Consider the following 12844-nt stretch of genomic DNA (forward strand, 5'->3'; position numbering starts at 1 on the left):
AACAGTCAGACAGCTAGTACCACTGAGGGAGTGGTAAATCCCAACTAGTTTTGGTGAGAGGGCAACGCTGGTGCATACACCCATGAGTGTGTCTTGGAGCAGGGGCAGACAGAGGTCTTTCTGGAAATATCAGTGATAACACCAGAAAAAGCAGCATTGCAGCCTAGACATTCTGGCCCCACACAAACCTTAGAGAAGATCCCTTATCTAGGAAATATTAATTAACATGGAAGAGGAATCCACCCATACATCCAACTGGATGGTCACCAGGGACGTGGTACCCGCTGATCACAAAACTCATGGAACTTTGAACACAGGCAGAACCAGGACCATTAGCAAACTGAAGACTAGTTGTTACTGTTGTGGTTTTGTTGTATTTTTTTCTTTCAAGGCACGTAAGTCTTATACTTCAAACCTTTCCTGGAGACACATGGGAATACTCAGATTTACACTCTACTTTTCTACTTTGGGGAGAAAAAAAACAGAAGAAACTAAACTAAAACTGTGCAGTTTGTATTTTAAAAAAGACTGGACATTGAGATCTTGCCAAACATCTCTCCATTCAGCAACCACTGAGAGAGTGTGGCGCTACCTTTTATCTGTTGTATGAGCTTGGGGAAATGACTCGGTACCTCTGAGTTTCCTCCCTCATCTGTTAAAAACAAAATACAAAAATGGTGTTGCAATGCAAGAAATTCTTTTAGTTCATATTCTTCCAGCTTCTCTGGGGCTCTGTCAATTATCCTGCACTCTGTTTTTCCTCCTGGGTTGCATGTGTGACCTTAGACATGGATAGCACATGAACACGCTTGCTTCTGCAGGGTGCTGATACTTTCTAGGTGACTGAGACTCATGGAGTGGAAAGAGTGACTGTAGAGGTGACATATCATTAAACCAAGTCACACTGCCTGCCATTTATCTGCCTGAAGGGAAGTTTCCTTTCGTTCGGGGACACTGGGACTCTATCTAGGGTAAAGGGAAGACAAACACACAATACTCCGATGTCCTTGGGAAAATGTCATTGAAATGGGTCAGCCTTTCTATTTCAGAGTTGTGCTCATCTGAAAACATTAAAGAATGTTAAAAATAAGTACACAGTGTGCTCTCAGCTGCTCCAGCCAAGCCAGCTTGTCTTTGAGAAGGCCTCTGGATATTAACAATAGGCTTATAGACATGCCAGCCTCCTGTGACTTCTCTGGGGAGTAATGTGGGCATTTGGGGAAGTTCCTGCATCACTCACTGTCCCACAAACTCTTTGTCAATGAGGTAGAAATTACTTGGGCAATATTAATCTCTTGGGGTGGGGTGGGTATGTAAGCAGACTTAATGATTTCAATGTTTTCTAAATGTGTACTCTGATTCTAAACACTGAATTTCTACATTTTGTCTACGAAAAACAAACAACTTTCAACATCAAATTTATTTCTGTTTCTCAGTCTTTCCTCTTTGTCTTTATGCTAAGATCTCCTACCCAAGCCCGTGGTCTCCATAGATTCAGGGCTAGAAATATTTAAGGGCTTCCTAGAAGACAGAACAGTAGCTTTAGAACCAGGCAAATTTGGTGATGATTCCCAGTTTCGATACCAATGAGCTGTGTAAGTTATATTGCATTCCACTTTTCTTCTTTGTCTCTGTTTCTCTATCCAGACAAAGTAGAACTAACGGATAACTCATAAATGTACTGTGAGCATTAGGGATGCTTAACCTAAATTACCTAAAATAGTGCTTGTTACAGTACAGATACTATTAAATGTCATTTGTGAATATTATCATTATTGCTACTATTATTATTATCACTCTTATGTGACTCAATAGTCTTTCCCTAAATGTTCTCTAAAGCAATAATAATCTGTCCCTGAGCTATGAGATAATCTTTCGTCTGATATCACACCTGGATTTTTGAGTATTGCTTGGCAACTAAACTCAGTTTTTGTACTGTCTCTGATCTTTGGCCAGAGGTCCACTTGATTGTCTTAGAGTTTTACATTTTACCTGCCACAGTACTCACCAGAAAATGCTGTACTCAGGCTCAGCTGAAATGCCTACCTCTGGTGCAACACTCTTTGCCTTGTGTGTTTGAATGGTTGTGCATCTGGGTCTCTAAGCAAGGAGCTCCTTGAGGACAAGGGCTTCTCTGATTCATGTCTTCTTCTTCGGGCCTAGAGCAGGGTGAGTCGTGTGATCACACAGTTCTGTTTGCCTGATTCTTTGGGAGACTGTGTTGATCCTGGCTGTTGCCATTTCCTTTGGAGCTCTGTAGCTAGATTGGGCTTCCTGTCCTCCTGGTCCCCCATCCCATTGGAGGGTGGAGTTTCAGGAGGCAGCTCCCCTTCTCTGCCCCACACGCTTCCCCCTGGCTGGGGTCCCATGGTGAGATCTCTTCCCAGGAGTCAGTTCACAGCTCAGTCACGTCTTGCTTAGGGGAAGACAATGAAACTTGACCTGAGAAGGCTTGGAGTGATTACTACAATCATCATAATTTATATGTAAAGGAACTTACAAAGAAGGAAAGGAAGAAATTAAGGAACAAGTGTGAACAGGAAGGACAAGAGGCAAAGAGGAAGGAAGAAAGTAAGACAGAAAATGTTTTTAAGGATCTGCTTTGGGATGAGCCTGGGCCAGATACTTTCACAAAACCCCTAAGAGCTATCTTTTCATTTCTATTTTAATATAGACAAGAATATAACCCAGGATTAATAACTCCCTAAAGTCATATATATAGGAAGAGGTAGTTAAACCATTGGAAGACGTTGAAATGTATCTGAGTCCCAAAAAGTGTAGTAGAAAATGATTAGAAAACACCCATCAACCAAACACTGCATTGCTGAGCACATGTACCATTTTAGCCTGTAGATTTTAACTCTAGAAAAACTCTCCTTTAAATTTTACAGGAGATATTAAAGGATACAGGAATACAGAACTGGTTATGAGGCTTAGTAGGAGTGATCAGAAAGGGTGCTTTTCTAAGTACAGTATAAGGCTCTGATTGTACACAATTCTGCAAGTTCTATTTTCTCCCATTTTTGATGTTTTAAGAATTCTTTGCCTCCAGAGGGGCATAGCCTGTTTGCTCCCTGCTGAAGTCATTGAGATTTCTCTCCTTCACTCTGTGTGTATGGACACTGGGGTTACATCTTTAAATGACAGCCGAAATCCATAACACACATCTTTTCACATTTTAGTCCAAAAAATGACTTTGCCGCCTTGGCAGCCAACAAAGTAGCCTGAAATGAATGTAAATCAAGAATCACTGGGCATCTTTAATTATAAAACTTGCTAAGGTTTCAATGTTTTATGCACGTTGGTCACTATTTTTGAAGCAATAACTAATTTCTCATTGTAAACAGAATGCAAAACTAGTAGTTTCCCAGCTTTTAGAAATGCTTAGGGCATAGTGATAATTTCAAAGTCAGTAATTACTCCGTGAATAAATGAGCCACACAGTTCTGCATCCTTGGCCCTCCATGTGCAATTGCCCTGGCATGGTCAGTCTCACTTACTATATTGTCTCTTTTCAGGCAATAATTTACTGTAACTACATTAGTTCAAAAAATATTTAGCCAGAAAAACACAATAAGCGATTCATTTTGTCCTTCAATCTTCCGCTAAAGAGCACAGATTCTCCAAATCACCAGGCAATATGGAAAAGGCAAGGTCTGTGTACATAGAGTGGCCCATAAAAAATAGAATTTTGAACAGTGGTATCCTGGTAAATATTTAACATTTGCCTCTCTGAAAAAGTATATCTAAATTTGCTGATATAAAATATACGTAGCATACAATTTACAAGTAACTAACAGTAATATACAAAACATTTTGCTTCAAATTCCAAATAGGCAATTGCTTCTTATTGAATGCTTTTGCTGGTTTTTGCCAAACTCCTGTATCCCTAGACAAAATATGGATTCAATTGACAGACAAATATAGTTCCAACAAGAATGTTAGTTGATACTTTTGTTTATCTTAACAAGAAATATCAAAGTAAAACAACAAAGATGCATGTCTGGACTTCACCCATTTGTCAATAATGTGAGCAACTTTTTTTGCCGAATTGAATTATTGTTCTCAAATGCTGGAAAAATATTTACTCATAGTACTCACAATGCTTATTTGTAGTGTTTCAGATATAGACATGTCACACATTTAAGTTTAATCTACACGAACATCTTTTCCACAATTTTATTAAACCTAGATAATCAGCAAAACAATAAATCAAGCCCTATATTGTAGTATTTGCAAATTTTCATGGTATAAATATAAACTCAATGGCTGATTTCGATCTACCAACATGACTGCGCTGAATGCTGAGTTGGGAAGAAACTGTTAATAGCACACCATTTTATGATATTTCCAACATGAAGTTACAACCTCAACCTTAACAATGTAAATAATGGTAAGATGTAGTAAAGTAACTAGAAAGTGACAATTTTTGAGTGTTTATTCCTTTATTTTTAATATAATTTAATTATAAATTTATGTAATTTAATTTTTAGCAATGACTGTGTTTAATAATCAGTTTGCAAAATCCCTAAACATTTAAAAATTGGTCCTTCCAAGCTGGTACAAGCCAGTTCCAGAACACCAATGACATTGGAATTGGAGGAAAAAATAAATTGATGATTTAGTGTACAGTTATGCATTGCTTAACAATGTTCTGAGATGTTCTCAGATGTTCAGAAATGTTCTGAAAAATGCATCTTTAGGTAATTTCATCCTTGTGTGAACATCAGAGTGTACTTGCACAAAACAAATGAATTGCACAAAACCTAATAAATTGCACACACAAATGAAAGACAGTATTAACATAATAAAAAACTATAGACTGGGAGATAATATTTGCAAATCACATATCTGAGAGTGATATACAATAACACACACACACAAACACCTGTATATATCTCAAAACTCGATAACAAAAAGACAACCCAATTTAAAATGGTAAGAGTTTGATCATTTATGTATGTTCAACATATTTGGATGGCAAATAAGCATCTCAAAAATGCTCAACATCTTTAGTTATTAAGGAAATGCAAATTAAAATCACAAGCTACTACTATGCATTCATAAGAATGTCTAAAAATTAAAATGACTGACTATACCAAGTACTGGCAAAGCTGTGGAACAACTAGAACTTTCATATACTGCCTGTGAGAATGTAAAGTGGTTTGTATACTCTAGGACTCCCACTGACTCTTTCTGAAATAAACATTCACTCACCATATGTCCCAGCCATTTTACTCCTAGGTATTTTCCCAAGAAAAATGAAAGCATATGTCCATGCAAAGATTTATACAAAATACAAACATTAATCACAACATTAGTTGCAATAGACAAACACTGGAAACAACCTGAAGGTTTATCAAGAAGTGAATGGATAAACAAATAGTGCTATATCCATAAGATGTAATACTATTTAGTGGTAACAAGGAATGAACACAACCACACAGATGAATCTCAAAATAATTACACCTGGTGAAAGAAGCCAGATAAACATACTATAGTCATGCACCGGATAACAACGTTTCAGTCGATGATGGACTACATGTACGACAGTTGTCCCGCAAGATTATATGGAGCTGAGAAATTCCTATCACCTAGTGCCTTCCTAATGTGTGAGTGCAATGCATTGTTCACATGTTTGTGGTGATGCTGGTGTGAACAAATCCACTGTGCTGCTAGTTATATAAAAATATAACATAATTATGTACAATACATAATACTTGATAATTAATGACTATGTTACTGGTTTTATCACTGTTTTAGAGTATACTCCTTCTACTTGTATATTTTACAAAGTTAACTGTGAAACAGCCTCAGTCAGGTCCTAGAGGCAGTATCTGGAAGAAGGCATTGTTCACATAGGAGATGACAGCTCCATGTGTGGTGTGTTTTCCCTGGAAGACCTCCCAGGTGGACAAGATGTGGAGGTTGAAGACAGTGATATTGATGATCATGACCCTGGGTAAGCCTAGACTAATTGGGTTTGTGTCTTTGTTTTCAACAAAAAAGTTTAAAAAGTAAAACAATAAAAAATAAAAGCATTTAAAAATAGAAAAATGTGTTTAGAATAAGAATATAAAGAAAATACTTTGAACAGCTGTACTATATGTTTGTGTCTTAAGCTAAGTGTTATTACAAAAGAGTCAAAAAGTTAAAAAAATTGAAAATTTATAAACAAGTTACATTAAACTAAAGTGAATTCATAATTGAAGAAGGAAAAATACATTTTATAAATGTTATGTAGCCTAAACTGTACTGTGTTTATAAAGTCTAGAGTAGTTCAGTAATGTCCTAGGCCTTCTCATTTGCTCACCACTTACTGACACAGCAACTTCCAGGCCACAAGCTCCATTCATGGTAAGTGCCCTATACACGTGTACCCTTTTTTATCTTCTATGCCATATTTTTACTGGGCCTTTTCTATGTTTAGATACATAAATACTTACCATTGTGTTACAGTTGCCTACAGTATTCAGTACAACATGCCTCACAAATTTGTAGTCTTAGGAGCAATAGGCCATACCAGTTAGCCTAGGTGTGTAGTAGGCTATATCATCTAGGTTTGTGTAAGTACACTATAATGTCTACTCAAGGAAGCAATTCTCAGAACATATCCCCATTTTTAAGCAATGCCTCACTGTATTTGTGTATCTAAACATAGAAAAGACACAGTAAAAAAAGCACAGCAGTATAATTTGATGGGACCACCGTCTTACATGCAGTCCATCCTTCACTAAAACATTATTATACAGCACATGACTGTATATGAATCCATTTTTATTATGTCCTAGAAAATGCAAACTAATCTGCAGTGATAGAAAACAGACCAATGGGCTGGGCGCGGTGGCTCATGCCTGTAATCCCAACACTTTAGGAGGCCGAGGTGGGCGGACCACCTGAGGTCAGGAGTTCGAGACCAGCCTGGCCAACATGGTGAAACCCCATCTCTACTAAAAATACAAAAATTAGCCGGGCTTGGTGGCAGGTGCCTGTAATCCCAGCTACTCGAGAGGCTGAGGCAGGAGAATCGCTTGAACCTGGGAGGCGGAAGTTGCAGTGAGCCGAGATGGCTCCATTGCACTCCAGCCTGGGGAACAAGAGCGAGACTTCGTCTCAAAAAAAAAAAAAAAAAAAGAAAAGAAAAGAAAGAAAACAGACCTATTTGAACAAATAAATTCATGGGAAGCCTTATTTTTTTTAAATTATTATTTATTTATTTATTTATTTTTGAAACGGAGAGTTTCGTTCTTGTTGCCCAGGCTGGAGTGCAATGGCACGATCTTGGCTCACCGTAACCTCTGCCTCTTGGGTTCAAGTGATTCTCCTGTCTCAGCCTCCCGAGTAGCTGGGATTACAGGCATGCACCACCACGCCCAGTTAATTTTGTATTTTTAGTAGAGACAGGGTTTCTCCATGTTGGTCAGGCTGTTCTCAAACTCCTGACCTCAGGTGATCCGCATGCCTCAGCCTCCCAAAGTGCTGGGATTACAGGCATGAGCCACCTTGCCAGTCCGGAAGCCTTATTTCTTATTGTAAAGCACTATGCGTTTGCTAGCTACCAGTGCATCATTTGCTTGGACAAGGGCCTCTGGCTTTTGTTTCTTTGTAGCCCCAAGTATAGGCCTAACCCATAGGGCCAGCCACTGGGCAATGTCTGTAGTGGGGATGATGGCATTGTGATGACACACTGCACCAATATATATTAAGTGAAAGAGTACCCAATGTGTTCCGTGTAATTACCATCAACAGGGACCATCCCAGATCTGAGCAGTTTAAGCCCTCTGGGCCTTGGCACAATGTGCAGCCTAGATTAATTAGTTAATGTTCATAAGACACTTTGAAGATGGAAAACCTTGTAGGAGTGCAAAGCCCATGTATTAAGGATGATAATTATATACATTTGAGCTTCAAATTCAGCAATCATTGTTGGAAAGGGTAAACCAGTTGCTGATTTATAGCACAGCAGTGTCCTGGACCTGCAAAACCTCTTGAAACGTGTCAAGAGCAGCTCTGGCATGTGCTCTGGGGCATAAAGTTGCTCTTGGAAGCAGGTGGGCATGTATCCCTTCTGTCATCCCACCAGAAATGGCTCAGCACTGTTACCTGGCTGCAAAGTGGATCATTCAATTTTCAATAAATACATGCTGAGAACTTGCTCTGTGGGGAAGACCTATTCAAATTCATATCAAGTAGAACTCAAAGTAATTCCTCCTCCCTCAGACTACAGAGCTTAGGGGTGACATAGAGGTGGTTTCATATCACAGCTCTGGCAATTGTATTGAGTGTGACTTGGAGAAAGTTATGTCGCCAATGTAAGCCCAGGATCTTCATGTTTAAAACAAGTAAACTTTGAAGATAATAATATCAGCCTTTCAGAGTTGAATCTGCAAAATATCTGGTAAGAAACTGAGACATCCTGGGTGCTCAGTAAATGGTAACTGTTGTTATTGTGTTGCCAAACTGTGCCCCTGATAACCAAAAAGCAGTTCTCTTGTGCTCACATCCATTGATGTGGGTTTTAGTTGCATTTGCTAGTTATACATTTTTTAGGACAATTTCTTCTTTTACCTCCAGGGATCCCTCACCCTGTGTCCCCTGATATCAGTGGTCTTTATTAGAGGAAGGAAAAGGAATTCTGTTAATGTTTTCATCTGCTAGCTGCAGTTCTCAAGACACTCAATAACTCATTGTCAATGACCTAGTTACTGACAACTAATTCCTCATTTATGGAATACGTCACTTTTGGAATGAATTTGATGACCCTGAACCAGAGCTCTGAGGACTCTGAACACAGAAGTGGGATCAAAGTGCTGCTAAACCCTGGCACAGCCACCTGGCCTCAGGGAAGGCAGTTAAAGGCACATATTTTAAAGGCCATCAAGTGTTTCTCTTCTTGGTCCTAGAAGAACATTCCCAGAGTGCCCTTCATCAAGTTGTCCCTAATAAATATCAAATGCAGGAGCTGAAGCTGTGGATGCCATGCTCCTCCCACCCACATTCCTCAAGACCTTCTCCCTTGGTGGCCCCACCAGGAGCCCCAAGTCCCACCTTTACTGCCAAACTCCACTTCAAAAGCTGAGGACTGAGTCCTCCACTGGTGCATCAGGGGAAGCCTTTTGAAGATGCAAGGGTTGTGAGTCACTGATAATCATCATGATTCATCCACGAACTTCAGAGACCAGGTTCTCTTTAATACTCATTATCCCTTCAATAGGCCAAGTTGGGCCAATAGTTAATTTGCAAATTGTAGGACTCAGTAAAGTGAGACTCTAAAGGCAGGGTAATTAATAAATTATTTTTATAGAGAGGTTGACTTCATTCAATTTTCCATATTTATTACTCATACGAGACAATCTTTCTAGTTTTCACCTCCCACAGGGCTAATGAGAGTTGATAGTCATCTCTCCTTCCACTATTCTCCCCTCACCTTATTCTGTGAGGCTCTGAGGCATTAAACACACACTTTACACTGCCAGGTCACTGTGGTCACAGTGTGTAGCTCAAAGACGGCCTTCAACAGGCATTTGTTTATTACAAGACACTTCACTGGTGCTCTCTTTCTGTGCCCTTGAATCAGGCCTCACCACTCAGCAGGAGACCAATCAAAATGAGTCCTAAAAACCATTGACAGTAACTTCTTGGCCTCTCTGAAGTCACTCCACCCTCTGTTCCTCTCTTGTGGTTCTGATGTTTGTTTCCTTACCTCTTGGCCTTCTTGGCTTTGGTGTACAATTCAGTGAGTTACAGATTGAATTGTGTTCCCTTTCAAAAAGATATATCGAAGCCCTAACTCCCAGTACCTCCAAATGTGATCTTATTTAGAAATAGGGTTGTTGCAGGTATAATTAGTTCACGAGTTCATGTCATAGTAGGACAGGCTCTGTACCCAATATGACTGCTGTCTTCATAAGAAAACGTCCATGTGAAGACATCCATGTTAGAGACACACAGGGAGAATGCCACGTGAGTACTGGAGGACGAGCATGATGCAGCTAAAAGCCAAGGGATGCCAGACGTTTCCAGCAAACCACCAGAATCTAGGAAGAGGTGAGGAAGGATCCCCCACAGGTTTCAGAGGGAGCATGGTCCATGGATACCATGATTTTAGACTTCCGGCCTCCAGAACTGTAAGAGACTAGATTTTTGTTGTTTGAAGCTATCCGATTTGTGGTACTTAGTTACAGCAGTTCTACCCTCCTTACACACAGGGCTGAGGCAGAAATGCTATTTCCTAAGGCAGGGCCTGAGGCAAGGCCAGTGCTGGGTAACCCAATCTGAAGTCCAGGAAGCACTTACAATTCTCTGTCTTCACTAGAGGTGCATCTTGCAACATGGTGTCTCAGTGCGGGTGTTAACTGTTGATTCCATTGACAGAAAAATCTATCTCCTCTGTATAAACATCTGGATGACTTAACACGTATTTGAGGCCCAGTTCTATGAACCACTGGCCAGACAAGGACTCCAGCCTCCCAAGACTGAAGAGTATAGGTCATGCCAAGAACATTCTTCTCAGAACTCTAGTAGTAGGACTTACAGAATAACGTCCTGGGCAGAGATGATTCGGCCATGAAATAGACTAAAAAGTGGAATCATTGAAATTAGTCATTGTGTGGCCTAGAGTAGTCAAGAGGGGCTCCCCCAAAGAAGCCACAGTGCCAACTATTGTAAGATGAGGAACTTTGGAAGAGCTAGTGATGAGGATGGAGAATATCCCAGGCATGGGGGCCACATGAATAAAAGCATGGTGACAGAAATAGAATGGCAGATGCTGTTCAGTGAGGAAGCTCAGCTGGTTAGAGTAGTGTGGTCTATAGAGAGTAGGGGAGAATCAAGTGTTGAAGGTTAATCCATTTACTCTAACCCTAGTTTGGCTGACTGCTTAATCATGGGTTTTCCTTCCTTCCTTCCCTTCTCCCTCCGTCCTCCCTCCCTCCTTCCCTCCCAGCCTCCGTCCCTCCCTCCCTCTCTCCTTCCCTTTCTTCCTTCCTTCCTTTCTCCTTGTTTAATTCGCCCTCTCTTCTTTTTTCTTTTTCTTCGATATTCAATGCAAATGCCTGATTGCCTGATTTTCATACCCTCTGGTAGGCTCCGGATGAAGGCACGCACTGCTACTATGTTAGAAGAGCGTGCATACACAGTTACAGCACACTACGCTAAACGCTATCACAGAACACAGGACTGGAAACACAAACATTGAGGCAATGCTTGACAAATATCCAGCACACATCAATAGCATTTATTGATGGGAAAATATGGTCCAAGGGTCACATCATCTCATTTGATCATTTCAATAACCCGATGAAGTATCTATTATTGTGTCTAACTTAAGGATGAAGAGACTGAGGCTTAGAAAAGTGAAGAAACATCTCGAATCACACAGCAAGTGGGTGGCTGACACAGGGCTCAAGCCTCATTTTTCTAAACTTTCACTTGTGTTCTTTGTACTACATGATGTCAGTTGTGTATTCTTAAGCTGGAATGACGAATTGGTCACCCAGATTTTTCTTACTGCCTTCAGTTGCTTCTTGACCATGGAGTTTCACCATACCACACTTTTTGGTAATAGGGGCTTGGGATAAAGCCTGTCCTCTCTAAAGATCTGTCTTTCCTTCTTTCCATAGGAAGAACTTGCTGCTCTGGGTATGGACAAATTGGATAGGGTAGAGCAAAACAGGAGAGCCTTGGCTGACAAAAGGAGACACATCAGCTAAGGGTGATGTCGGCTAGCTGAAAATACACACTAATCTAATCTGGCTGTTCTAGATGAATCTCAGGAATGTGGGAGGCTAGCATGTCAGATAGGCAATTATTGGCCGGACACAGGATTGCATAATGCAATGATGACTGGGGCTTCCTGCTTCAGCTTGAATGTGGCGAGCTTGCCAGAGAGGATTTATCTTCCCAAGAGAAACATGCCAACTTTGAGAGGATATGAAGTAACTGTTATTATGGGAAAAAAGACAGGCTTAATTTGAAAATAGTCAAGGTCTCTTTCAGTTGTACTCTGGATCTGCCTTCCTTTGGTTTTGTTTGTTTGTTTGTTTGTTTGTTTTTCCTTTTCTGCTCTTCTGTCTCTGTCACTAGGTCTTTCTCTCTGAATTTGTGTCCTCGTTACCTTTCTTTCATTTTGCTTTTATTTTTACTTAAATCCTTGCTTTTTGTTCAAATCTTTATATCAGTTTAATGTTAGAGAAAAGTGCCTTGATTGTTTTCCTATCAAAGAAGAAAATGCTGATTAGAACCAGTGTCTGTGGTGGTTTTGTATGGGAGGGGTCTTTTAGACTGAAGATTAAGTAGACGAGACTCCTCTATTTAATATGCAACAACCTGGAACATTTTGTTTTTGATAACCAAACAAGCAAATTGCCCACATACTTCCTCTTTCTACACAAAAACCCACATCACATTCTTGCAACTGGCTTTGCCTTAATTGCTTCACAAGAAAAACCCTGGCTATCATTTGGCCTCCTTTGAGACACTGGCTCTGAATTCCTCAGGGTGGCCAGTAAAATGCTTCAGAGAGAAAAATGACGTACATAAACAAAACAGAATATAGGAACAACAGAAAGGTCTTTTCTAGATATTTCTGTGTACTTTCTTTTTTTCTTTCTAGATGAGAATATGACATACGGAATGCATGGCATTGGAAGCCAATGCTTGCAACTCTCAGTCTAGTTTTTCACTAATACACTGTGTTTCCTCTCTTCTTACTCAGTAAAGTATTCGTGTATGAATATAAAAATGTAATGTTGGAGCTAAAATGTCATAAAGTCACAAAACATAAGTGTCCAAAACCCTGAGATTATTTATATTTATAGTGAACTCCTCCATAAATATTTATTAT

At 39.9% G+C, this 12844-nt stretch overlaps 1 annotated feature.

Annotated features, from left to right (window-relative positions):
• Positions 8841-10040: an enhancer, noted in NCBI's record as "MED14-independent group 3 enhancer chr2:12956433-12957632 (GRCh37/hg19 assembly coordinates)". NCBI's record gives its function as "activates an origin of replication core promoter dependent on BRD2, BRD4, P300/CBP and CDK7 cofactors, and independent of MED14, by STARR-seq in HCT116 cells {active_cell/tissue: HCT116}" and the evidence as "EXISTENCE:reporter gene assay evidence [ECO:0000049][PMID:35650434]".

This window comes from Homo sapiens, chromosome 2 (genome assembly GCF_000001405.40).
Source record: "Homo sapiens chromosome 2, GRCh38.p14 Primary Assembly".
In the NCBI taxonomy this organism is placed as follows: Eukaryota; Metazoa; Chordata; class Mammalia; order Primates; family Hominidae; genus Homo; species Homo sapiens.